General features: G+C 39.2%; 1 protein-coding gene and 1 pseudogene across 5 annotated transcripts in view, besides 2 other annotated features; one reads left to right on the top strand and one right to left on the bottom strand.

Moving 5' to 3' along the window:
- The window catches only part of WWC2 (WW and C2 domain containing 2), a 221,521-nt gene that overhangs the window by 77,473 nt on the left and 119,473 nt on the right, over window positions 1–24,575 (top strand). For 3 of the 5 annotated variants that reach the window (NM_001410864.1, NM_024949.6, XM_047416199.1), the window contains exon 2: window positions 16,870–16,979. The exons of the other annotated variants lie outside the window; for them this stretch is intronic. In NM_001410864.1, the coding sequence (NP_001397793.1) occupies window positions 16,870–16,979 (110 nt within the window). The remainder of the gene's footprint in view (window positions 1–16,869; window positions 16,980–24,575) is intronic. 5 annotated transcript variants of the gene reach the window in all.
- On the bottom strand, window positions 31–211 carry LOC124900923 (uncharacterized; annotated as a pseudogene).
- Window positions 5,902–6,696: an enhancer, noted in NCBI's record as "OCT4-NANOG-H3K27ac-H3K4me1 hESC enhancer chr4:184103784-184104578 (GRCh37/hg19 assembly coordinates)". NCBI's record gives its function as "activates a minimal SCP1, AML or CMV promoter by ChIP-STARR-seq in naive and primed H9 embryonic stem cells {active_cell/tissue: H9 hESC(naive and primed)}" and the evidence as "EXISTENCE:reporter gene assay evidence [ECO:0000049][PMID:30033119]".
- Window positions 6,697–7,491: an enhancer, noted in NCBI's record as "OCT4-NANOG-H3K27ac-H3K4me1 hESC enhancer chr4:184104579-184105373 (GRCh37/hg19 assembly coordinates)". NCBI's record gives its function as "activates a minimal SCP1, AML or CMV promoter by ChIP-STARR-seq in naive and primed H9 embryonic stem cells {active_cell/tissue: H9 hESC(naive and primed)}" and the evidence as "EXISTENCE:reporter gene assay evidence [ECO:0000049][PMID:30033119]".

The following is a 24,575-nucleotide window of genomic DNA, read 5'->3' on the forward strand; positions in this document are numbered from 1 at the left end:
TTTTATTTTTGTTTTTTTAAATTTTTTTGAACCACTCAGACTGCATCCTCTCCTTACTCTCACAGGGGAAGAGAAGAATGATCATCAGTGGCAAATGGCAGCTGCAGCCAAGCAACACCGGCCTCACACTCCAGGCAGAACGCTGTGCCCTCCTCATGGAGGAGTTTTTCAATACTGCAAAACAAATACTTGCAGAAGCTAAGCGTGACTTAGTGTACGGTTGAAGGAGTCACCAGTGCAGATGTGGTGGTCACCAGAAGATAGGTTCATTGAACACATGTTGAATGAGCAGCAGTCGCTGTTCTAGCCACTAAGGACCACAGTGGTGGACAAAATAAGTCATGGGGAGGTAGGAAGGAGGACTAGAGCAATAAAGGAGATAAATTCAGACATGATAATAGCATTAAAGAAATCAACTGTATGCCATGATAGATAGTGACTACTTTAGATAGACTCATGCATTAGTCAGCTCTGCTGTGGTAATAAGCAACCTGTAAATCTGTGACTTCCACAACAGGTGTCTCCTTCTAGCTCGTATTACATTGTCAACTAGAGAATAAAGTGAAATAATTATGTAAAAATCTCAAGGCTAAGGATCATGCATGATCTGTGAAATTGGTCACTAAATGTTTAGAAAAAATTCAAATTGGTCTTGGTGAAATATATGCATAACACAAAAGAGTCAGATTATGACAATAAAAATAGAACCTTTGTAAATTTAATATAAAACAATTTAATACAAAGAAATCAAAGAAGGAAATTGTAGGGCCTTTGGTCAGAAGCTCCTTTGTTGTTTAACAAGGTTCAAGAATAAATAAGGCTGTTTCCTCTTCTTAATAAATACATTATATATAAAAAAGTGAACATTTTGTAGAAGCAGACTATAATAGAAACTTGAATCTAAGTTTAAAATGCCTTAGATGATGTTAGAAAAAAAAAGAGTAACATTTATGAACATGGGCATATATTTTTTGGATGTCTATAAATAGTCATCTTTGAAATGTTAAGCATGCTTTCCAGCATGTGCTTTTTCTCTGGCCTGAGAAGCTACAGGTGCACCGAGATTGATTGACTCATTTACCTTCTTAAAGCTTTTTTGGGAAGCAGTTAGACTTGGTTTAATTGTCTAGTAATCTGGCCAGCTGCCTCCATGATCTTCACATTCTGGAAGGCCTGTGCTTAACTGAATTTCTTCTTCACTTTGGGACCCTGCAAGATCACTGAGAGTCAATGCTGGGTAACTCCATTTAGGTCAGTTATGTAGAGATCCCTTAGTTAAAGACCAGGCCCTGCTAACAGCATCACTATAGCGTTAGGACATTTGTTCAGGTAAATCCCACAGAAATGCATTGATCATGTGGCCAAACCAACATACTTTCTTCTTGCATTTATCCAGGCAAGATTAAGAGTTGAGATATACTGAAATAACACCAACCTCACATTATGAACATTTTGAAATTTATTGTGAAATTCATTTATTTTGTCTCTAAATGTAACAATAGCTGTAGACTGCAAAAGAAGTTAAAATCAGGGCCAGAGAGTGGCTGATGCCTATAATTTCAACTCTTCGGGATACCAATGTGGGAGGATCACTTGAGCCCAGGAGTTTGAGACCAGCCTGGGCTACACAGTGAGACCCTGTTTCTACAAATAAATAAATAAATAAATAAATAAATAAATAAATAAATAAATTTAAAAAATTAGCCAGGCATAGTGGCACATACCGGTAAGTCCTAGCTTACTCTTGAAGCTGAGGCAGGAGGATCACTTGAGCCCAGGAGTTCGAGGCTGCAGCCCAGCCTGAGCAGTAGAGCAAGACCCCTGAAGTCTTGCTGTGCTGCCCAGTCTCTTTAAAAAAAAAAAAAAAAAGTAAAAATCAGAGGATGGAACTGAAGCACCAGATACTTCCCCACAAGCTATTAAGGCTGAGTTAGTTCTTATAACTCTCCACTGACAGCAGCTGTGCCTTTACACCAGGGAGCTTGCTGCATGGAAGCTCGGACTCAGTCTGATCTAGCTGAGCTCTCCGTTCAGAAGCAGCAGGCTTCAGGGCGCATAATCGAGAACTACAAGTAAGGCTAAGGCATCATGGCCCCAAGTCCCCTTACTGCAGGAGCTGCATAGCAGGAAGTGCTTCCTGAGGTTAACTTTATGAATCTGTGTCTGAGTAAAATACTTGTCAGTATCTAACTTAGGGCTCATTCAAGGATATTCAGTACAGTGTTGTTTTGGATACAATTAAAATGGCTATCAGTACCAGACAATACTGGAAGGGCTAAACTGTGATCTAAGCTTATTGTAAAAGATGCTCCTGTGACATAAAACAAAATTTAAAAAAACTTACTATTAAAAACGAGGTAGCAACATGAAAAGCCTCATAAATTATATTGTTGAATGAAAAAAGTAAACTTCAGAACGATGTGCACAGTATATTATATTTTCTAGGCTGTATGTAGAGAAAGGCCTGGAAGAACACATACTGCCCCGGTGGTCGTGGATACTTCTGAAGAGAGGAGTGTGAGAACTGGAATGAGAGCTGGTGGTCAAAGAGACTTAGCATTGTCTGCAGTATTTTAATACTTTACAAGGAGGGTATATCCATGTATTTTTTAACTAAAATCTTATATTAAAAGTAAGATTTTAATAACTATTTTCAAAAGACCACCAGCTGCTGTGTGGAGTATGGGTTATAGAGGGATGAGAGTGGAAATGTAACAACTAGTTAGGAAGTTAATCGGGGCAAGAGATGCTAATAGGTTGGATTAGAGAGGTGGTGGTGGAGGAAAAATAGTTGTAAATAGGGCTGTGTTCTGGAGGGTGAGCCTACAGGATGTTGACGGAGAGGGGGCCATCAAGGATGACCGCCTCCCGGGTTGTGAGGTGAGCATCTGGGTTGATGATGGTGCCATTTTCCAAACAGGTCATTTGGGGGAGGAATGGGACTGGGGAAGTGGTCATGAGGGGGAAGTTAAAGCGTTGTTTTTTATGAGTTGTTTGATGTGGCCATTAGATACCCTGCTATGGAATGATCAGGGAGATGCTCTCTGATAAATCTGGACCTCTAAGGAAACGTCTCTCTGGAAATCACTCACTCACTGTTTTCTCTAACAAACATTGAGCACTGTGTACCATGTATGTGTTTGGCATGCAGAGATGAAACAACCGCTAGGAACTCGGTGAACTGAACAGAGAAGTCAACTAAAAAATGTAAACCGTGTGAAATATTTTAATGGGAAAATACTTCCAGAGCTTAACAATGTCACTAAATAGTGACAGCTTTGGGAAAACATGATGTCTTCCCCAAGAAGATGATGTTTGAATTAATTTTTAAGGACGTTGAATCTTAGAAGAAGACAACTGTTTAAGTGTGAAACTATAAAAGGGGCAGGATGGTGGAAAAGTGGAGGGAGAGAAGATGTTCCAGGTGGAGGGAACTGCACGTGTTAAAGATATTTTTGCTACTTGTATATCAGGCGGACTGGCTTCTCCTTGACCTCTCCTGGGCTTCTTTTGGTAGATTTTTCAGTAGTTGGTGTCATAGGCATCTGCAACGCAGATATCCTGCCTCTGAGCTGTGAAGTAGTACTTCCACACTTTGCCGTCTTGTCTCATGATTTCCTTGTATTCATGAGGGTATCTTGTTGGTATTAGCTGACGTTTCTTTCTTCTTAGATGTTTAGTATTCGTAGAATACTGTGCCTGTAACTCATGCCAACGATGTTCTGAAACCTGGCCAGTCTCACCAAGCTTGAAGTCTATTTTATTTTATTTATTTTTTGCCTCTCAAAAGCTAGACTGGGATGCAAACATTTATAGCAACATCATTCATAGTAGCTAGAAGTGGAAACAATCCATATATCTGTAAACTGGTAAATGGATAAGCAAAATGTATCTGTGGAGTGAAATACTATTCAGCAATAAAAAGAATGAATTCTTAATGCATGCTATATAATAACATTATATATCTTGAAAACATTTTGCCAAATGATAGAAGCTAGACACAAGAAACCACAAATTGTATGATCTTATTTATATGCAATTCCAGAAAGGGTAAATCTGTAGGGACAGGAAGTAGATGAGTGGCTGCCTGGGGCGGGGGCGGGGAGATTTCCCACAATTTGAAAAAACTTACGTGAACTACATAGTCTACAAACACTGAAAAAAATTAAGAAAAAGGTATGGCACGAATGCATAAAATATATGTACATACTAGACTGTTTTATTATTTACTACCATAAAATATACACACCATTATAAGACTTTAAAATTTATCAAAACTTATGCACACATTACAAATTGTGCATGATGCCATTTGTAGTTGAGAGAAATGTAAACAAATGTAAAGAGGCAGTATTAAATCATAACTGCATATAATTAACTATAGTATATAGTGTACTACTGTAATGATTGCATAGCCACCTTCTGTTGTGGTGAGCTCAAGTTTTGGGAGCATCTGCTTAAAATGCCCTGTGATGCTAATCATCTCTGTGTGAGCATTTCCTCTCTCTGGTAAATTGCATATCACAGTAAAAAGTGATCTCTCACAGTTCTCAAGTATTTTTCATTGTATTTAGTGCAATACGTAAACCTTTAGTACACTGTGGGACCCATACAAAGTGCCACTTGTGATGCTGGAAGTGCTCCCAAGAAGTGGAGAAAAGTAATGACCTTACAAGAAAATGTTGACTTGCTTGATATCTACGGTAGATTGAGGTCTGCAGCTTAGGTTTCCACCATTTCAGATGGACGATTCATGGTGTATAAACAGATAACCTAAACTTGAAGCATCAATAAATACAGTACGGTACTGTAAATGTATTTCTTTTTCTTTATGGTTTTCTTAATGACTTTTTCTTTTCTCCAGCTTAGTTTATTGTAAGGATACAGTATATAATACAGTGTACAAAATACGTTACTTGACTGTTTATGTATTGGTGAGGCTTCCGGTCAACAGTAGGCAGTTAGTAATTAAGTTTTGGGAGAGTCAAAAGTTATAAGAGAATTTTCATCTGTGCAAGGAGTTAGCACCTCTAACCCCTGCATTGTTCAGAAGTCAACTGTACATAAGTTTATACATGGACTGAAAAAATACCAAAGTATTGGAGTAGATGTCACTCTACAGGAAAGTGAAGCAAGGACTTTAATAACAGTTCATCCTGTTATTTTCTGTATTCTTCATAATGAGAATCTATTAACTGTTTTATAAAATGTATATTTTTAAGTCAACATTGAAAACTACAGTATACATAGAGTTTATTTAGTTTGATACCAAAATATGATGTATATTTTGTACATAATATTATATCTACATATGTATATATTTATTTAAAAAACATAGCCTAGAGTGAAACACATCACATTGTTAACTGGGATTATTCCTATGTAGTGAGGTTATAGAGATTTTTTAAAGTCCTCTCAGTTTCTTAAGTTTTGATAAAAGTAATACAGGTGTATTTTAATCATTTAACTTCTTCAAAAGGGAAGTTGTGGCCCTTCAGAAAGGTGTGCCATGTGTCATTTCTTTGTTGTCCTGACTGGAGCTCAATTCTCCAGACTGAATACTGAAGCCTCTTCTAGTCTTCGTCCATGAGCAATTATTATCCACCATGAAATTGACTGGCTGTGTGTTGAACTACAGGTTGGGAATTGAGGCAGCCTTGGTGGATTTCTGTTATTTGTTTGGACAATAATCCTTTTTAAGTTCTCTACCTCTCTCAAACACTCATACCTTCTTTGCTGGCATAGCCACTTAAAATTTCAGACTATTTTTCAAAACCAAATAATCTGACAAGCAAACATTTCTTGGCACTTAGGAGAGAAAAAGAGGTTCAGGTTAAAGTGTTTGACCACTTTGTTTTCTTCCGTGGCATAAAAATACTTTAAAAACCTGCTGAATTATTGAAATACTTGAGATAAATTCTGTTATGTCTGTCACTTAAATCTGTTTTCTGTTAAGATATTCATTATGATACAGAATGTAATAATAGCAAAAATAAATCACAAGACCAAATATTTTGATGCAGTATTGAAAGATTTTCTTGTATCTTGTTCCATAGTCAGGAAACATATGTATCAACTAACACCTTAATACCAGCCTTCATGTTGTTATTTGAATAAATGCATATACTATTACTTCTGTATAAATAGAAAATTTTTGAAAGAATAAATTACAACCCTTTCATGATGTAGTTGACGTTTTCTTTCTGCCTTCCTTCCTACTCTTCTTCCATTCAGTCAACATTTATTATGTGTCGACTGTGTATGAGGTAGGCATTAGGCATTGTGCTAGAGAGCGAGAAGAAGGCAGGGTCCCTGCCTAGAGACTGAGTCTGAGTGTAGTAACATGCCTTAGGTGGCAGCTGATCCCTGTGGAGGTGGGACAAGATTCATGCAACACAATCAAGAATAGTATTTCTAGGTTAAAAGGAATTAACATTTTTAAAAATTTAAATATTTTTATTTTAAGTTCTGGGGTACGTGTGCAGTAATGCGCAGGTTTGTTGCATAGGTAAACGTGTGCCATGATGTCTTGCCGCACCTATCACCCATCACCTATCACCTAGGTATTAAGCACAGCATGCATTAGCTGTTTTTCCCTAACAGTCTCCCTTCCCCCACCTGGAATCAACATTTTAATGGTTTTTTTTAACACTGCCAAATTGTTTCTTAAAAGGACTGTATCGAGTTACAAAGTCACCAGCAATGAATGAAAGTAGCTGATGCCCCACATCCTCACCAGAGTGAGTTTCATCACTAAGACAAAGCAAAACAGCCGGAAGCAGTGACTCATGCCTGTAATCTCCACACTTTGGGAGGCCAGCGAGGGCGGATCACTTGAGCTCAGGAGTTTGAGACCATCCTGGGCATCAGACCTCATGTCTACAACGGAAAAAAGACATTTAGCCAAGCGTGTTGGTGTGTACCTGCAGTTCTAGCTCCTTGGGAGGCTGAGGTGTTAGAATGGCTTCAGCCCGGGAGGTTGAGGCTGTAGTGAGCTGAGCCGTGATCGTCCCGCTGCACTCCAGCCTGGATGTCAGAGTGAGACCCTGTCTCAAAAAAAAAAGAAAAAAGGCAAAAACTTGATATTTTGATAGGCTTAAATTTTAGCCTCATTATTTTATTGTATTTGGCGTTTCTTTTTATTATTAGTGATGTTTAACATTTTCCCATGTTTTTACTATCTTTTGTGAAAATATTTTATTCACTTTAAGTCTTGGCATTGTTGTTTACTTGCTACTCCTTTTGAAAACCAACTTACTGAAGTGAAATTCACCTAATGTAAATTAACCATTTAAAATGATCAATTCAGTGGCATTGAGTACATTCACAATGTTGTGCAACCAACCCCTATATTTAGTTTCAGAACATTGTCATCCTCCTCCAAGGTACCCACTGAGCAGTTTCTATTTACCCCTTTCCTTGTCCCCTGGCAACCATCAACCTACTTTCCTTTTTTATGCGTTTGTGAACTAGCTATTTCATATAGTGGAATCGTACCATATGTGACATTTTGTGCCTGGCTTCTTTCACTTAGCATAATGTTTTGGAGGTTCATCCATATTGTAGCATGTATAAGTACTTCATTCTTTTTTATGGCTGAATAATATTCCATTTCATGTATATACCACAATTTTTTTATCCATTCACCTGTCTATGGGAATTTGGGCTCTTTCCACCTTTTGGCTATTATGAATAATGCTGCTATGATCATGCACACACATGTACTTATTCGAGTACCTATTTTCACTTCCTTTAGAAGTAGACCTAGAAGTAGTATTGTGGGATCATACGGTAATTCCATTTTAACTTTCTGAGGAATTGCTAAACCATTTTCTACAGAGGCTGCACCATTTTACGTTGCCACCCACAATGTACAGAGTTCCCATTGCTCCACATCCTTGTCAATACTCGTGTCTTTTGTGTATGTGTTTTTTAATGATAGCCATCATAGTGGGTGTGAACTGGTGCTTCACTGTGGTTTTGATTTGCATTTCCATAATAACTAATGATGTTGAGTACTGTTACTATTTTTATATAAGTTAGAAAATGAAGGATAAAGAAAGCCTTGCTCTTGAAGTTATTTTCAAATTAGTTAAGTATCCTTTGAAGAAAGGAAATGTTTACTTAAAATTAAATGAAGTGTCTACTATTCCAAATAGGAGGACTGTTAAGCCATTATCTGTTTAAATATTTCATCGTTTTCATAACAGAGATACTTGTAAAGCCTTCAGGTTTATTTTTAACTTGAGCTTGTTTTCCACTTCTCCATCACCTGGTTGGATTAGGGATCCAATCTAATTTACGTCTTTTAAACAATAGCACTCAAGGTGAACTTCTGGTCCCTGAAGTTTACCGATCAGTATTACCTCAGAACTTAGAGATGTAAATCCTCAGGTCCTTCCCAAATCTACTGAGTCGGAAACTTTGAGGGTGACCCCAACAGTCTGTGCTTTCATAAGCCTTTCAGTTGAGTCAGATCAGATGCACGCATAGGTTTCAGAACCGCTACTGTAAACCAACATTCTCAGATTGATTCTGTGATAAACAGCTCTTGTGGGAGGTGAAATCCACAATGTTGGTCTCATTAGCACCAACTTTTTTTTAGCTTAAGTAGTCAGACAATATGAACAATTAACTTGGAATCATGTTATAACCTCCTATTTAAGAAAGCATAAAGCATACAGTTTTGCCTAGAAATTGCTATTTGGTTTACAAATCACGTAAAAAAGAGGAAAGTATTTTTCAAAAGCGACTTTTGATCTTTGGCCAAATACTGAAGTAATTTAAGAGGCACATACCCATGATGTATATTTTTCCTGTTATTTGTAATTTTTCAATTTTTTGGCCCTGCTTTTCATGAGCTATGTTTCCTTTTATTCGTAACTAGACTTTATTTTTTACTTCTTCAGAGCCAACATTGTGAAGGTTTTTAGTGTGAAGGGCTATGCGGCAGAGCTTGCAACCACTACTGCCCTATGTACAAATGTTGACTGGAGAGATGTGTGTGTGTGACCCTAACACATGCTTATTTGGAGAGGAGTGTTTATTTTTTTCTCTGCCCAGGCTATTCAAATGGAAAAAGTATACCTACTTTGCAGAGTTTTATGTATGTACATTTATGTATATTAGAGCATGTGTGGTACATGATAAACATTCAGTAAGTGTTTTATATTATTAATATAATTGCTGTATGTAAAATTTGACCTTTAACATAGATTTTTTTTTTTTTTTTTTTGGTGACGGAGTCTCACTCTGTCACCCAGGCTGGAGTGCAATGGCGCAACCTCGGCTCACTGCAAGCTCCATCTCCCGGGTTCACGCCATTCTCCCACCTCAGTCTCCCGAGTAGCTGGGACTACGAGCGCCCCCCACCACTCCCAGCTAATTTTTTGTATTTTTAGTAGAGACAGGGTTTCACCATTCACAGGATGGTCTCGATCTCCTGACCTTGTGATCCTCCCGCCTCAGCCTCCCAAAGTGCTGGGATTATAGGCGTAATCCACTGTGCCTGGCCTAACATAGAATATTGTAAGCATTGAAGCTTTTGCAGATACTATATCTGGATCCCAAAACCCAACAGCATGAGCCATGTGCTTTTTCAAAGGCAAATCACCCACAAATACTGTCTTTCAAGAGTGTATTCGTGAAGTAACTGTAGGATTAAGTGTTAGATGGCAGAAGGGAAATTCTATGATAGGGCCTCCTAAAGTCCTCCTGTTTACAGCCTCTAGGTTAGGATGAGGGAATGGTTAGGAATGGTTAGTAAGTGAATGTCAAAAGAAGAATCAGAAGGTTTGAGGAAAGGTTTTTTAGGGTAGGGGGCATTGAATATAGACTGAAGGAGAAAAAATTAACCATATGAGAAGAGATAAATATCAGATAATGAGAGATGGAATGAGACTGCAGAGTAGAGAGGAGCGGCTGGGGTAAGGGCAGGAGACTGGCAGGCTAGCCTGGAGGAGGGGATGCGAGACATGTAGAGAGGAGTGGGGTGTGTGGGTCTCAGGGAGCAGACCTGGGAGACAACACAGTTGTGTTCAGATATTTGAAAGTCTGTCATGTGGAGGAGGTATCAAACTAATTCTCGTTGGTACCAGGTGACAAAACTCATGCCAGCTGTAGGAGGACCAGACCTAGGACCAACAGAGGGGAGAATTGTCTGAGGACCCAAGCAGGTGCAGACATAACATGAACTAATCTGAAGAAGTGATCTTGGTTAGGCTACCTCGTTATGTTTCCTGCCAGCTCTGTAGCACTGGGTGAATCATTTAAATCTTGGAGCAGCAGTCTCCTTCCTAACCCATTGCACCAGGCTAGGGGCTTTCCTGGCCAAGTCCTAGGGTGACAAATTAGTTATCTGCTTGGCTGTCCTCACCTTGGCTCCCCAGGGCAAGCACCAAATCCTTTCCTTGTTATATCCCCCCACTGCACACAGACAGGATCTAAAACACAGGATTTTGTGACACGTTTTACGTTTCACATAAAACACAAAATTCTGGATGTGTCACATACAGAATTAAATCTGTAAAAAACGGGAATAGGGGCTGGGCGCAGTGGCTCACGTCTGTAATCTCAGCACTTTGGGAGGCCGAGGCGGGTGGATTACCTGAGGTCAGGAGTTTGAGACCCGCCTGGCCAACATGGTGAAACCCTGTCTCTACTAAAAATACAAAAATTAGCTGGGCATGGTGGCACGCACCTGTAGTCCCAGCTACACAGGAGGCTGAGCAGGAGAATCGCTTGAACCTGGGAGGCGGAGGTTGCAATGAGCCGAGATTGTGTCACTGCACTCTAGCCTGGGCGACAGAACGAGACTCCGTCTCAAAATAATAATAATAATAATAATAATAATAATAATAGGCATGGTGCGGTGGCTCACACCTGTAATCCCAGCACTTTGGGAGGCCAAGGTGGGTAGATCACCTGAGGTCAGGAGTTCGAGACCAGCCTGACCAACACGGAGAAACCCCATCTCTACTAAAAATACAAAAAAATTAGCTGGGCGTGGTAGCGCATACCTGTAATCCTAGCTACTTGGGAGGCTGAGGCAGGAGAATCACTTGAACCTGGGAGGCAGAGGTTGCAGTGAGCCAAGATCGTGCCATTGCACTCCAGCCTGGGCAACAAGAGTGAAACTCCGTCTCAATAAATAAATACATAAAAATAAAAAAAAAAGAGACCAGAAATACCCATTTTGAAGGGTTGTTATTAGGGCTAAATGAGATAACATATGAAACAACCTTGCATAATTCTTGGAACATAATAGACAACTAATAAAATTAGTTTCTTTCCTTTCTGAAAAAATTAGTATGTCACAAAATGATTTTCAAAATATTGAGTAACTGTTCTAGTAAACAGTAATATAAGTTGCCAGACACCCAAAAGGGCTCATGGCAGGAAGAACGGGGGAGTGAGGCTAGATTGGAGCCTCCAGATGTTGCCAAGTCTATTTTTTTGTCTTTAGGTAAAAATGATCTTAGGAAGAGATGATTCTCCCCATTGTGACGTGTTCTTTTGTTTTGTTTTTGAGACAGAGTCTCGCTGTGTCGCCCAGGCTGGAGTGCAGTGGCACAATCTTGGCTCACTACAACCTCCACCTCCCAGGTTCAAGAGTTTTCCTGCCTCAGCCTCCCGAGTAGCTGGGATTACAGATGCCCACCACCACACCTGGCTAATTTTTGTAATTTTAGTAGCGATGGATTTTCACCATGTTGACCAAGCTGGTCTTGAACTCCTGACCTTAAGTGATCTGCCTGTCTCAGCATCCCAAAATGCTGGGATTACAGGTATTAGCCACTGCACGTGGCCCATTGTGACCTATTCTGATATCTAATGTTTGTTTTCTAGAAATTCTATCTAATATGATCTCTCTCTCTCTATCTAATATGATCTCTCTCTCTCTCTTGCTCCTTTCTTTTTTTTTTTTTTTTTTTGAGACGAAGTCTCGCTCTTGTCCCCAGGCTGGAGTGCAATGGCCCGATCTTCACTCACTGCAACCTCCACCTCCCGGGTTCAAGCGATTCTCCTGCCTAAGCCTCCTGAGTAGCTGGGATTATAGGCATGTGCCACCACGCCTGGCTAATTTTTGTATTTTTAGTAGAGACGGGGGTTTCACCAAGTTGGCCAGGCTGGTCTCGAACTCCTGACCTCAGGTGATCCGTCCACCTTGGCCTCCCAAAGTGCTGAGATTACAGGCATGAACCACCGTGCCTGCCCCTCTAATATGACTTCCTTCCAATCATTTAAGCTAATTTCCTCACACACAGGGAAGGAATCTCATTATTATCTTCCAAAGTGGTTTGTATAATTTTTCTTGAAAGCCATTTTTTTTCTTGTTGCCTCCATCCACTGTTTTCTACTATTTTCCTTTGTTTGTTTCTTTGTGTTGCTAGTTTCCCTATCTAGTGATAGATAGAAGTTGTTGGCCAGGCGCAGTGGCTCATGCCTGTAATCCTAGCACTTTGGGAGGCTGAGGGAGGTGGATTGCCTGAGGTCAGGAGTTTGAGACCAGTCAGGCCAACATGGTGAAACCCCGTCTCTACTAAAAATACAAAAAAATTAGCCAGGCGTGGTGGCGGGCGCCTGCAATCCCAGCTACTCGAGAGGCTGAGGCAGGGGAATTGCTTGAACCAGGGAGGTGGAGGTTGCAGTGAGCCGAGATCGCGCCACTGCACTGTGGCCTGGGTGATAGAGCGAGACTCAGTCTCAAAAAAAAAAAAAAAAGTTATTTCGAGGGAACTAATTGACATCATTATAAATGAAGATTCTTTTAGGACTGTGGAAAGATTTCTAGTGCTTTATCCTTGCTTTAAAATTCAAGTTGTGAAACACATCTTTACTTCCTCCCTGTTCTCTTAGAGCAATTCAGTGATGTTTCTGTGAGCAGATTCTGTAGTAATCATAAGCAGTTGACAGGATTCGCTCTGCTTTGTGTTAGCTAAACAATGAGAACAGCAGATGCTACAAAGTAAAAATAACTGTTAAGACTTTTAATGTGTGTGCTAAACTGTACATTTGGGAGGCTCTGAATTGTGGCAAGAGTTTTAGTAACCTGAAATGTTTTTTTTAAGTGCTTATTCATTTAGTGCAGTTAGTACAAACTCAGGTTTTTTTGGAGTTGTGCTTGTACTCACCATCATGTAATTGTGAAGTGAACAAATACATCACTGTGTGGCATCTCATGTCGTAGGACATGTATTTGAGTTGACAATAAATATTAAATGACTGTGAAAGAATGATATAATGCCAGCAAGGAGAAGAAATACCACACAGAGTTAAATTTTGCATATAAACGTTGGCAAAGTGCTGCAGTAAATTACCGTTTTCTTCATAATATGAAATTCCTTTGCATGGTGCAAAGGAAGACCTTTTTAAGCAAAGAGTAATCTCTGGAATTCAGCATTAAGACTCTAGTTAATTTCAGGATTTTGTTGTTATTGTTGTTGTTGCTTGTTGTTGCTCCTTTGCAGGGAACCAACCAAAAACAAACTCCATCCATTTTTACTGACTTAACATCAAAGAAAGCTTGAATGTGTAAGAAATTCCTTGTGCACAACAAGAGGAAGAAATTTAAAAGTTAATTAACATTTCCGTTCACTGTATTTGTTTTAATTTATATTGTTTGTAATTTTGGAATACATCTGTTAGTTCTTTTTGCTTTGTGTTACCTCTTAGTACGTCATAGTAATATTTTCTTTTTATCAGGATAGCACCATAATTGGGTACTTAATTTGTTTGGAACCTGAGAATGTTGTTCTATTTATATTTTATAATTTGCATAAGAATTCAGTCCTAAAACTTTAATATTTACAAATATCTATGTAATGGTTTTACTTATTGATAGAGTGCAGAGAAAGTATATATATTTATCCATATATAGAAAATAAAGTATTAAATTTATATTTGAAGGAACTCTGCAAAGAAATTTTTATATTAAAAATTTTAAGAATGGAATCTTCTGAATTTTTCAGAGTTCACAAGTACATGTATACCTGTAGATGTAATTGTAGTCTTAGAACAGTGACAATTAAATGCTTATCTGCTAACCAGTTAGTGGAACAAACTGGATTATTTCCAAATGTAATCAAGTTACTATTAACTTGTAATCATAGCACATGCTCTCAAGCTTTTATAACTTCCTATTCTTAAAGTAATAAATATATTCCTGTCATACTCACGCTTAAGCACATTGAATTGGTGCCTGGGTAATACTGGTCTAATATTTCTCTTTTGGCACTTAAACTTACCGTTCTCGTGTTTTCTCCTTCTTCATTTCTTTAGGATGCATGTGCCTTTTAGACAGCATTGATAATGGAGTTAATGAAAGAGAATCATCAAACAGTGATACAGAGGGTGACCTGGCACCAGAGCTCTATCTAGTTGCTTTATTGAGGTAGTCAAAGAGACCATGTATGTAGACAAGGAGGTGTCCTAGGGTGTAGGAATTTTTGATATGGTATCTCACTCTTTGTCAAAAGAAAAATCAATTTTCCAGGGCAGTTTTTGATAGAAGACAGAATTTGAGCACAATTCTAAGAATAAAATGTTTTGCATTTGAACTCAGATTGAGTTCAAATACACTCCATGTTTACAAAGTAAATATGGCCAGTTTCCATATTTGGGCACATTGCTTAACATGTTTGAGATTCATTTTACTCATCTAACATATATTGAAGCTTACCATTTCTCGGGTGTTATACTGTTTAGTTCTCATCTAAACTTAATCTTTCCTCCTACCCCCTTAAAAAATACATTAGGAAGCTAGGGCTTTTAAGGCTAATAACTTGCTCTAGGTTGTATAGTGAGTAAGTGGCAGAATAAAGATTTGAGCCCAGATCTCTTTGATGCCAAATTTCAAGCTCTTAACTTCTAAGCCGGTGGTTCCCGCACTTTAGTGTGGAGCAGAATTACCTGGAAAGCATACATTGCTGGGACTTAGAGTTTCTGATTCTACAATAGGGCTCAAGAATTTGTATTATTTCTATTATTTTTTTTTAATCATTTTAGTTTTTTTTTAGAGACAGGGTCTTGCTCTGTTGCCCAGGCTGGAATTCAGTGGTGCGATCATGGCTCACTGCAGCCTTGAACTCCTGGGCTCAGGTGATGCTCCCATCTTGGCTTCCCAGAGTGCGGAGATTACAGGCATGAGCCACAATGCCTGGCTAATTTTTTATTTTTTTAGAGACAGGGTCTCACTGTGTCGCCCAGGCTGGTCTTGAACTCCTGGTCTCAGCCATCCTCCTGCCTCAGCCTCCCAAAGTGTTGGAATTACAGGCGTGAGCCACGGTGCCCAACCAGAATTTGTATTTGTAACAAGGTCCCAGATGTTTATGCTGCTGTTTCTGGGAACTATATTCTAAGAACCACAGTTCTATGCTGTGCTGCCTGACTTGATTCCTCTGAGGGATAAATGAGAGAATTCACATGTGCTTGTGTTAATAATCACTGACATTTATTGACTACTTATAATGTCCTGGATGCTCTTCCAAGTTAATTCCTTTTTATCCTGAGTTTATTTTAGGAGCTAGTTAAATTGCAGGGAGAGTACGTGAGGTTATACTCACTACTTCAAAGAGAAGGAAACTGAAGTAGGAAGAGGTGCCCAGTAAGTGGTCTCACAGTGAGTCAGTGGTAGAGCAGGTTACCCTCATTATTGCTTCTGTCTGCTGAGCTGGTTTGGAAGGCCAGTGTCTTCTTTGGAGCCATCTCCAGAAGGAGAGATTTCGTGCTATAGGAAGGTTGAAAGAAAAGTAGACCCTTCCTTTCATCTACTGGTGTTTTTTGTCCTTGGAGGACTATTGCAGAGCAGGCCTGGAAAAAAAGAATTTTCCTCCTTTTTATATCATTCTTGAGCATTCTGAAGGGTGGATGATGTACTTTGTTATTCTGATGAATGATGTGATTCTGAAAATGACCTATATTTCAGTTGAACTGTGAGATCTTTGGATAAAAGGGATTCCAGGAGATTTTGTATGTAAGAACCATGCTAGTGGTGCTAGTGCATTAAATTAGAAAATGTGTTGACTGATGGTGGCCACACTCCAGCAAGGCATCTGTGGTGTTAACCTGCCCATGGCCGCTCCAGTAGCCAAGGAAAATCTCAAAAGCAAAATGCAAGAGAGTGAGAAAAAAAAAATCTATTGTAATTAAGTCTGAAACCTGTACTCTGCTTAGGAAACTGTGTGGTTTCTTCATTAGTTTTAAAGAGAAAAATCCTACAGAGAAAGCGTCTTAAAGAAAAAAATGGTCTTAAGAGAGAGTATAAAGCAATTTCAGAAGGTGAGATCACATTGATATATGAATGAATACTTGGTGTATTTGGTTCAGTTAAAAATTTTGTTGAGTGACTGTTATGTACAAGATACTTATAAAAAAAATTTGTCCTTCCTCTCAAGGAGAACTTATAGTAGCCTTCACAGTTGAATGTTTAGTTAATTTATAAATGGGCATCCAGTCTGAAATTAGTGTAACCTGATGTGGATCTTGTCTCCATGCTACTGATAGGATTTTCATGATACCAGTATTTGAATCTTGGGACACATTTTTCTTTTTAATGGGGTATCTGTTTCACTGCAGAGCTAGAGCTAGATCCCAAGCTTCCTCACTCTCAGCTTGGCGTTCTCCCTGATTTAGGATGCCTTTATTTATTTAGTGTATAGATTTATCTCCAAATATTAAGCAGTGAACTTTCAAAAGGGTATTACGACTTGTCCTACTTTTTTGGATATATACATCTGTATTTTATCCTTGGTTTTTTTTTTTCTTTAAGATTTTAAATGCAACCTAGACACTTGTGGTTAGGGTGCTGAATTTTGACATATGCGGTTTGACGGAAAGAATCACTGGTGTGTCAATTCTGGTTTGTTGTAGGTTAACGAAGCCCTTGTCATTTGCTGATTGTGTTGGGGATGAGCTGCCGTGGGGATGGGAAGCAGGGTTTGACCCTCAGATTGGTGTCTACTACATCGATCACATCAACAGTAAGTTTTCCTTTTTGGTAAAAGCAAACATATCAGAAAAGTAATCCCCCAAAACCTACAGTCACACAAAAGAATAAACATGTTACAAAGTGAATTTCCAAAACCCCATTTTCTTAGTGACTAATATTTAACTGAAGTGCCTGTCTTGGTATTTGGGGCATGTACATAGAGTTGTCCTTATGGGGGCGGAGAGGGAGAAAGGGTATCTGGCCCGTGTGCCTGCCTGCCTGCCTGCCTGCTGGGGAATGAGGATTCTCCTTCAGCACAGGTCTGGGAACCTGTGGGGATCAGAGCTGCTGGGCTCCTCTTTCCATGGCCACTGCACCTTCTGACAGGCTCTTCCTTTCCTTGTGTTTGCCACAGAAAGACTTGGGCGTTGGCACAATGTGGTTTGTAGGCTGGGACTGGGGAGGGGTTGGCCTGCATCAGTGGCTCTGGAAGACATAGCGTAGCTGGGAAAGGTCCTAAACCTCTTCCTTTTTTCTGTTTCCTGATTTCTTTGTCGTTGGAAGGGAAAAACCTCTCATTTTAACAGCTCTTAAATCTGTCATATCTCTGACATGGTCAGTCTAGGGCAGAGGATTACTGTGGCCGTGAATGACTTTCAAAAACACATACTTTGAAATATTTTTTATATATTTGTGTATGTTTGTGTGTGTGTGTTTATATGAATATCTAGCACTCTATCTACTCCTTTAAAAATGTATTCAGATGGTAGCATACAATACTCATTCACTTTGCTTATTCACTTAAAAATAATTATTTTATTTTTATAAGTTTTGCGGAATACATAATGAATTTATTCCTCATTGTCTTATTTCTTTTAGATCTATTCTTATATTTAAAATTTGTATATGTAGTACTCTGTAGTATCTTTAGGAACAGTATCACTGTAGCAAAGTGTTTCATTTGATACTCACTCATTAGTGATGGCTTGCAGCTGCCCTTGTGTAGGTAGATGATGTATTTCTCAAGAGGCCAAAAAAGCCTGTATTATTAGCTGTGAGGCACCATCTTCCAGGCGGGTGAGGTGGAAGGGCAGAAAGGAGCGTAAGCACTCTGAAGTCCAGTGAGCACATATGGTTAGTGATCTGTTTCAGTAGAACACCTGTCATACACAGCTTGGGAACCAGCTTTCATGTATACTGTACATTATTAGTTCAACACAAATACAAATAATAGTTTCTACAAGTTGTTACCTCAGCCTCTTTTATATGATCAGAAGAAATGCGACTTTTTTGTAGAGCTATTATTTATCTCTCCCTGAAAGTTTCTGAAAGTTCTATGAAGAATCAATGATTGTGTTTTTAAGTTAGCTTTTAATTTTTCTAATAAATGTTTATTGATATACTGTATTAGTATATACCAGGTTTTATTGTGTATCAGTCACTGACAACCAAATGTCATCTGTAAGGGTGAAATGAACTAATTTTGATAAAATTCAGTTCACTTTAAGCACGGTGTCTCACCCTTATGTCATTGCAAATAAACAAGTCAGTGAAATATCTGAAATGTATTAACTATTTAACTCTCACTTTTATGCTTATTTTAGATGAATAATTGTGTAGCTTTCTTTCCTTAAAGTAGTATTTGGGAAACCAGAAACCAACCTCGCCATCCTGGGTCAACAAAAATAAGCTCTGTTGGTACCAAAATGAGAAAAGAAATCCTCTTAGCCTCCTTCTCAACACCTACAAACTCTTTGGTATCTAAACCCACCTTCAGGGCTTCCTCCTCTTTCTCAGTGAAGGAGGCATTCCTCTGGACACCTCCACCCCTACAGATACCTCTTAATAACTTTTCTATTTCATCATTCTCTCCTGTTTGGTATCTTTACTAGTTATTTCCTGATTTTAAAATGTTCTCCCACCATTTCTATTAATAAATGATTCTTTTGTCTTAATGTATAAACACTGGAAACTCTCAAAACAAAACCAAAACTGCAAAAGAAATACAAACAGATGGCATTAAACTCCCTTTCGTCACCCTCTCAAAACCATCCTTCAACCAGAATCCCTTGCCAACTGTGGTTGCCTCCTCTTCCCTTCACAGCCAGACTTGCTGAAAGCTGTAGTCTGCAAGAACTCCACTTCCTCCATTGTTCTCCACCATCTCACAGAACCTGTTCTTGCTGAGGGCACCCGAGACCCCACGATGTAGTTTGGATATTTGTCCCATCTAAATCTCATGCTGAAATGTAATCTCCAGTGTTGGAGGTAGGGCCTGATGGGAGGTGATTGGATCGTGGGAGTGGATTTCTCCTGGTTTAGTGCCATCCCCTTGGTGCTGTCTTTGCTGCAGTGAGTTCTCACGAGATCTGTCTGTTTGAAGGTGTGAAGCATCTTCCGCTTACTCTCTTGCTTCCTCTCTCACCACATAATGTGGTGCTCCCGCTTTGCCTTCCGCCAAGAGTAAAAGTTCCCTGAGGCCTCCCCAGGAGCCCAGTAGACACTGGGGCCGTGCTTGTATATCCTGCAGAACCGTGAGTTAATTAAACCTCTTTTCTTCATAAATTACTCAGTCTCAGGTATTCCTTTATAACAAGGCAAGAAGGGTCTAATACACCCTACAAACTATCAAATCCAAACAACACTGTAGTCTTGTCTCTGTGACTTGCCACTGTGAGTTATTCCCTCCTGCTCTTTACTCTTTGGATTTTGTGACATACTGTTCACATACGTGACCACACCTGCCCAGCTTTCTTTTGCCTCTTTCTTCTTCACCGGGACCTGCTGTCAGGATTTCTGTAATAGTCTTTAGTCTTCTGCTGTTTGCATGCTGCAGATCTCCTTGGGTGATAACTTCAGTTACTTCCTTCAGACTGCTGGCTGCCACATCTGTCTAAGTCTTTCCCAGAGTCCAGATGCATGTGTTCTATTCCTTGCTAGAAGGCTCTTCCTAGTCTGCTTGCACCGGCCTCTCCTTTTTCATCTCCTGCCCTGCCTGGCACTGGAGGCCTTTAGGAGGACCCTGTGCCTCCTCAGCTGGCTGCCTTTCTTTGCATCTGTAGAGTCTAGCCTGAGCACTCTCTGCACAGCCCCTAGGCCCTCCCTTTGTCTGAAGGCCACATCCTTCTAGGGGCAGTCTGCTCAGGTGCCACTGCTTCCCACAGGCCTTCTCTGATACCCACCCCTCCACCTCACAGGTCCCCGTCCCATTCTGGTCGAGTGCCCCATCCAGATATTTCCAGAGGACCAGGTGCATAGGGATTTTTTTAAAAAGCATTTTCATATTGCATTTATATTATTTTTTGTATGTTTTCCTCACTAAATTGTGAGCTTCTTAAGGGCAATGACTGCATCTTTTATGTTTTCATCGCTGGGCAACTAGTATAATGATAAACTCTTAAAATGTTAAAAAGAAGAGCTTTATTGCTTAACTCAGCAATCAAAAGCTTTCTGTTATTTAAAGGAATTAAAGTACATTTCAAGTATAAATTATGTGTCAAAAAACACCATTTTGAATATTTTAAAACTTCACTATTAGAATATAAAATTTTAAGTCTGCTATTTTGCTGTAATGGTAATGGTATTCTGGTGATCTGTTGTACCCAAATGACCGACAGCAAACAGTTCACCCACTGAAAACGATCTGGTCCATTGTCTCATTAATCTTCAAGACATTCCTGTGAAGTAGTTTAGGAAGCAAATGGTATTATCTTCTCAAACAGCTGTTCCACACATATGTTGTGTTCTGACATCGTATAGTTTCAGCATCATTTTCTCATTATTTAAATAAAAAATGAAATAAGGAATGTTTGGCTGTTTAACACTATTTCTAAGAAACACTATTGAATATTTAGAAGTAAAAGATTTGACCTTGACTGTGAAAGTTATTTTAGGCCATCAGTGTTGTATGATCATATTCACCTTCCAGTGGGTATATGTGGAGTGGGGGTGTAGATATCAGTGAGGGATGTTTGCAGCTAACTAGAAGGTAAATAAGGAGGTATGGTTTATAAGGTTTTGATATTATTAATACAACCAGAAGTAAATCACTTTTTGGTAGAGTCAGAGTTGTACTGTAATTTTTTTTCTTTTAGTAATCAAGGTTTCATTTACATACACAAAAATGCACTGATTTTAAGCGTGTATTTTGGGTGGACTTTGACGTATGTATAGTCCTTTGTAACTTGCCCCCGCATCAAGGTACAAACTTTGTCCGTCACCCTGGTAAGTTCTGTCCTGCCCCTTTCCAGTCAGCCCTCCCTACTGCGGCAGACATTGTTCTGATTTCTATCACCATAGCTTAGTTTTGTCTGTTCTGGAACTTCATGTAAAAGGATTGTGTTCAGTTTTGGGAATAGATTCTTTCAGCGTGTTTTGCAGTTTGCACCTGTAGTCCCAACTACTTGGGAGGCAGTTTGCACCTGTGGTCGCACCTACTTGGGAGGCTGAGGTGGGCAGATTGCTGGAGCCTAGGAGTTCAAGGCTGCAATGCGCTGTGATCACACCACTGCACTCCAGCCTGGTTGACAGAGTGAGACCCTGTCTCAAGAACAAACAAACGAAAAGTAATGGTATATAGGAGAAAAGTAGAAAATATAGATAAATGAAAAGAAGAAAAATTATCTATGTTCATACAACCCAGAGTTAACTAAGTATTCTAAATCTTCTGACGTGTATCCTTCCAGACTTTTTCATATTGATACACACATGCACATATACACAGTTTCTTAAAATTTATTTTTGTTTTCATTTTTTGGGGGTAGAGATGGCATCTCTCTGTGTTGCCCAGACTGGTCTTAAATCTGACCTCAAGGAATCTCCCCACCTCACACACAGCTTTAAATGTATTTTACATCGCAAATGGGATTATATTATATATACTGTTTTATAAACTTTTTCATTTAATGTATAATTTTCACCAAAAAATTTTTTGCACCATGATATCAATTCTTTTGATAATAGAACTTCACATTTCTGTCAGATGATTTTCATAGAATATAGTCAAGATTCTTTGAAGCTGAGCATGGTAGCTCTTGCTTGTAGTCCCAGCTACTCAGGAGGGTGAGGTGGGAAGATCGCTAGAGCCTAAGAGCTCAAGGCCAGTCTTGGTAACATATAAGACCTCGTCTCTTTAAAAAAAAAAAAAAAAAAAAAAAAAAGGTTCCTTTTGTGCTCTTGCATAAAACCCTTTTGTGGCACATTACTGCTTTCAAAATGAGTTTCATATTCATTTACTGGACATTCAAGAGATCATAGGCTAGTCCTTCTTGGGGTATTGGTAAAGAAATGAGAATGTGTAGTGAAATAAGGAAAGGACCACCACCATGCCAGGAGAAGATGGGGAAACATGAAGAAGCAGCCTTTCCATTCTAAAGAGTGTAGCCACATCTACTTGGAGAAAGTGCTTTAAGCTGAAACCAAAGAGATGACTGAGTTAACCAGGCTGGAGAAAAAGACGGTGGGGAAGAAGGAGGACCACAAGTAGATTCAAAGGTCTCAAGAAGCAGGACTTGAGGAAAGCAGGACTTGAGGAAAGACATGCAGGAAATTCAGTGCAGCTGAAGGCTGGTGTGACTGGGGTAACCGGGGGTTTTGACTGGGGCAGGGAACGGGCCAGGTTCTTTTGTCGGGAATCTTTCAAAGCCCTCTTTAATTAAGCCTGTTCCACGGAACTGTACTCTTTTCAGCCAGAAGAAACGCATTTGTCTCTAAACTGCCATGGTACTAGCCACTCATACACTAGCCATGCACATAGCCATTCTCCGCTCAAGGCATTAATTGTGTTCTGCGTACATCTATGTCACTATTTCTTCTACATTTTGTAAGTTTCTTGGAAGGAGGGATCATGCCCGATTATCTTATTTTTCCAAACCCTGTAGTAGATGGCCAATAATTGTCTGTAGAAATTAACGAACAAATAATAAATGAATATAGCAGATACTTTATAAAAAGGAAGATAAGGAAAGTTACTTATATTCATTTGATTTATTCTTCCTAAGCACAGTAGGAAGAACAGAAATATGCATTATAGACAAAAAAAATCTTCTTTGAAGAATCTAATGTTATCTTCCATGATAAGCTCTTGTAATTCACATGTGTTCTCTACCTATAAAGTTTCACATCTATAAAACTGATGGAATGTGAATTCCCTTGAGGTACAGGGCATTTTGACAGTATTATATATTGCTTCTTTAATATAGTAGAAAACAGCAAATTATATTATAATGCCATGAGCTCCCAAGGCCACTGGGTCTTAATAAAAAATACCACATTTGTGTAATATACTTGAGTATTTACATTTAAAAAATAATCTTCACAAATCTATTCTGCAAATACAACGATGGAGATGAAGCACCATCCTGCTTTATGAAGCCTTCTAAGGTGGCTTTGGGAACCCTCTTTTGTAGTTCATATTTGAATTGTGCAGTATTTCAGAAATGAGAATGCTTCCCACTGACTCTCTTGTAATATGCGGTGTTTAAACCAGTCTACTGGAGTGTTTTTCCTGACCTATCCAAGACAAATGCTGATAGTTTATTATCATCATCATTATTGCCCTTTATTCATTTAAGTGTCAGTCAGTGTTTCGTGGCATTTTAGCCAGTGACAAGTATTTTATTGAAATATACCGTGTCCCCAAGATGGAGGGAAATATGATTGGCTGAAACCTCAAAAGATTGAGAGAGAACTGAGAGTACATATCTTATAATTATTATAACTTAAGAACATTTCAGATTTTTAACATACATTTTTAATTTTTATTATCTCTTTATTAGTTTATTAATTATATATCTCATTGTCACAAATTGTTCCAAAACTTAGTGGTTTAAAATAATATTTATTATCTCATGGTTTCTGTGGGCCATGAATCTAGGCAAGACTTAGCTGGATACTCTGGCTCAAGGTCTCTGTGGTAGTTTGCAATCAAGGTGTCAGCCAGGCTGCAGTCATCTCAAGGCTGACTGGAGAAAGATTTGCTTCCAAGCCACTCGTACGGTTGTTGGCAGGATTCACTTCCTTGCTGGCTGCTGGCCACAGGCCTCCCTCATTCCATGCCACGTGGGCCTCTCCACAGGACAGCTCACAACGGGGCAGCTTGCTTTGTTAGAGCCAAAAAGCCAAGAAGAATCAGGGAGAGAGAGAGTGAGCAGGACAACAGCACAGTCTTTTGTAACCTAATCTCAGAAGTAATATCTTGTCACTTATTCTATGTTCTGTTCATTAGAAGCAAGCCATCAGATCTAGCGCATACTCAAGAGGCATAAATTACTAGGAGATGAGGATTATTGGGAGTCATCTACAGTTCTGAAAACTTTTGAAGACCACACATTTATGTTCGTTAGAGGATGAATTCTGTACTTTGAGGCAGGTTGCACTCACATATATAAATATTGGAAATAGATATAGGTATTAAATATTAGGATATTCAGAGACCTGAGTTATAATGAATATTTGAACCTGAGAAGTTTGGACTCTTATTGACTGATCTCTGCCCATCTCCCACATTCTCCAGATGGCTGGGCTGCCTTGTGGTGGTGATGTCCTTGAAGATTCTTGGCTGGAGGGTCTGTCCATCCTGTACATCTCTTGTTTAGACATCAGCTCTAGCATACAGTTTGTTTGTTTTTTTTCACAGTTAGGTGAGATA

The sequence above is a fragment of the Homo sapiens genome, chromosome 4 (genome assembly GCF_000001405.40).
Source record: "Homo sapiens chromosome 4, GRCh38.p14 Primary Assembly".
Classification (NCBI taxonomy): domain Eukaryota; kingdom Metazoa; phylum Chordata; class Mammalia; order Primates; family Hominidae; genus Homo; species Homo sapiens.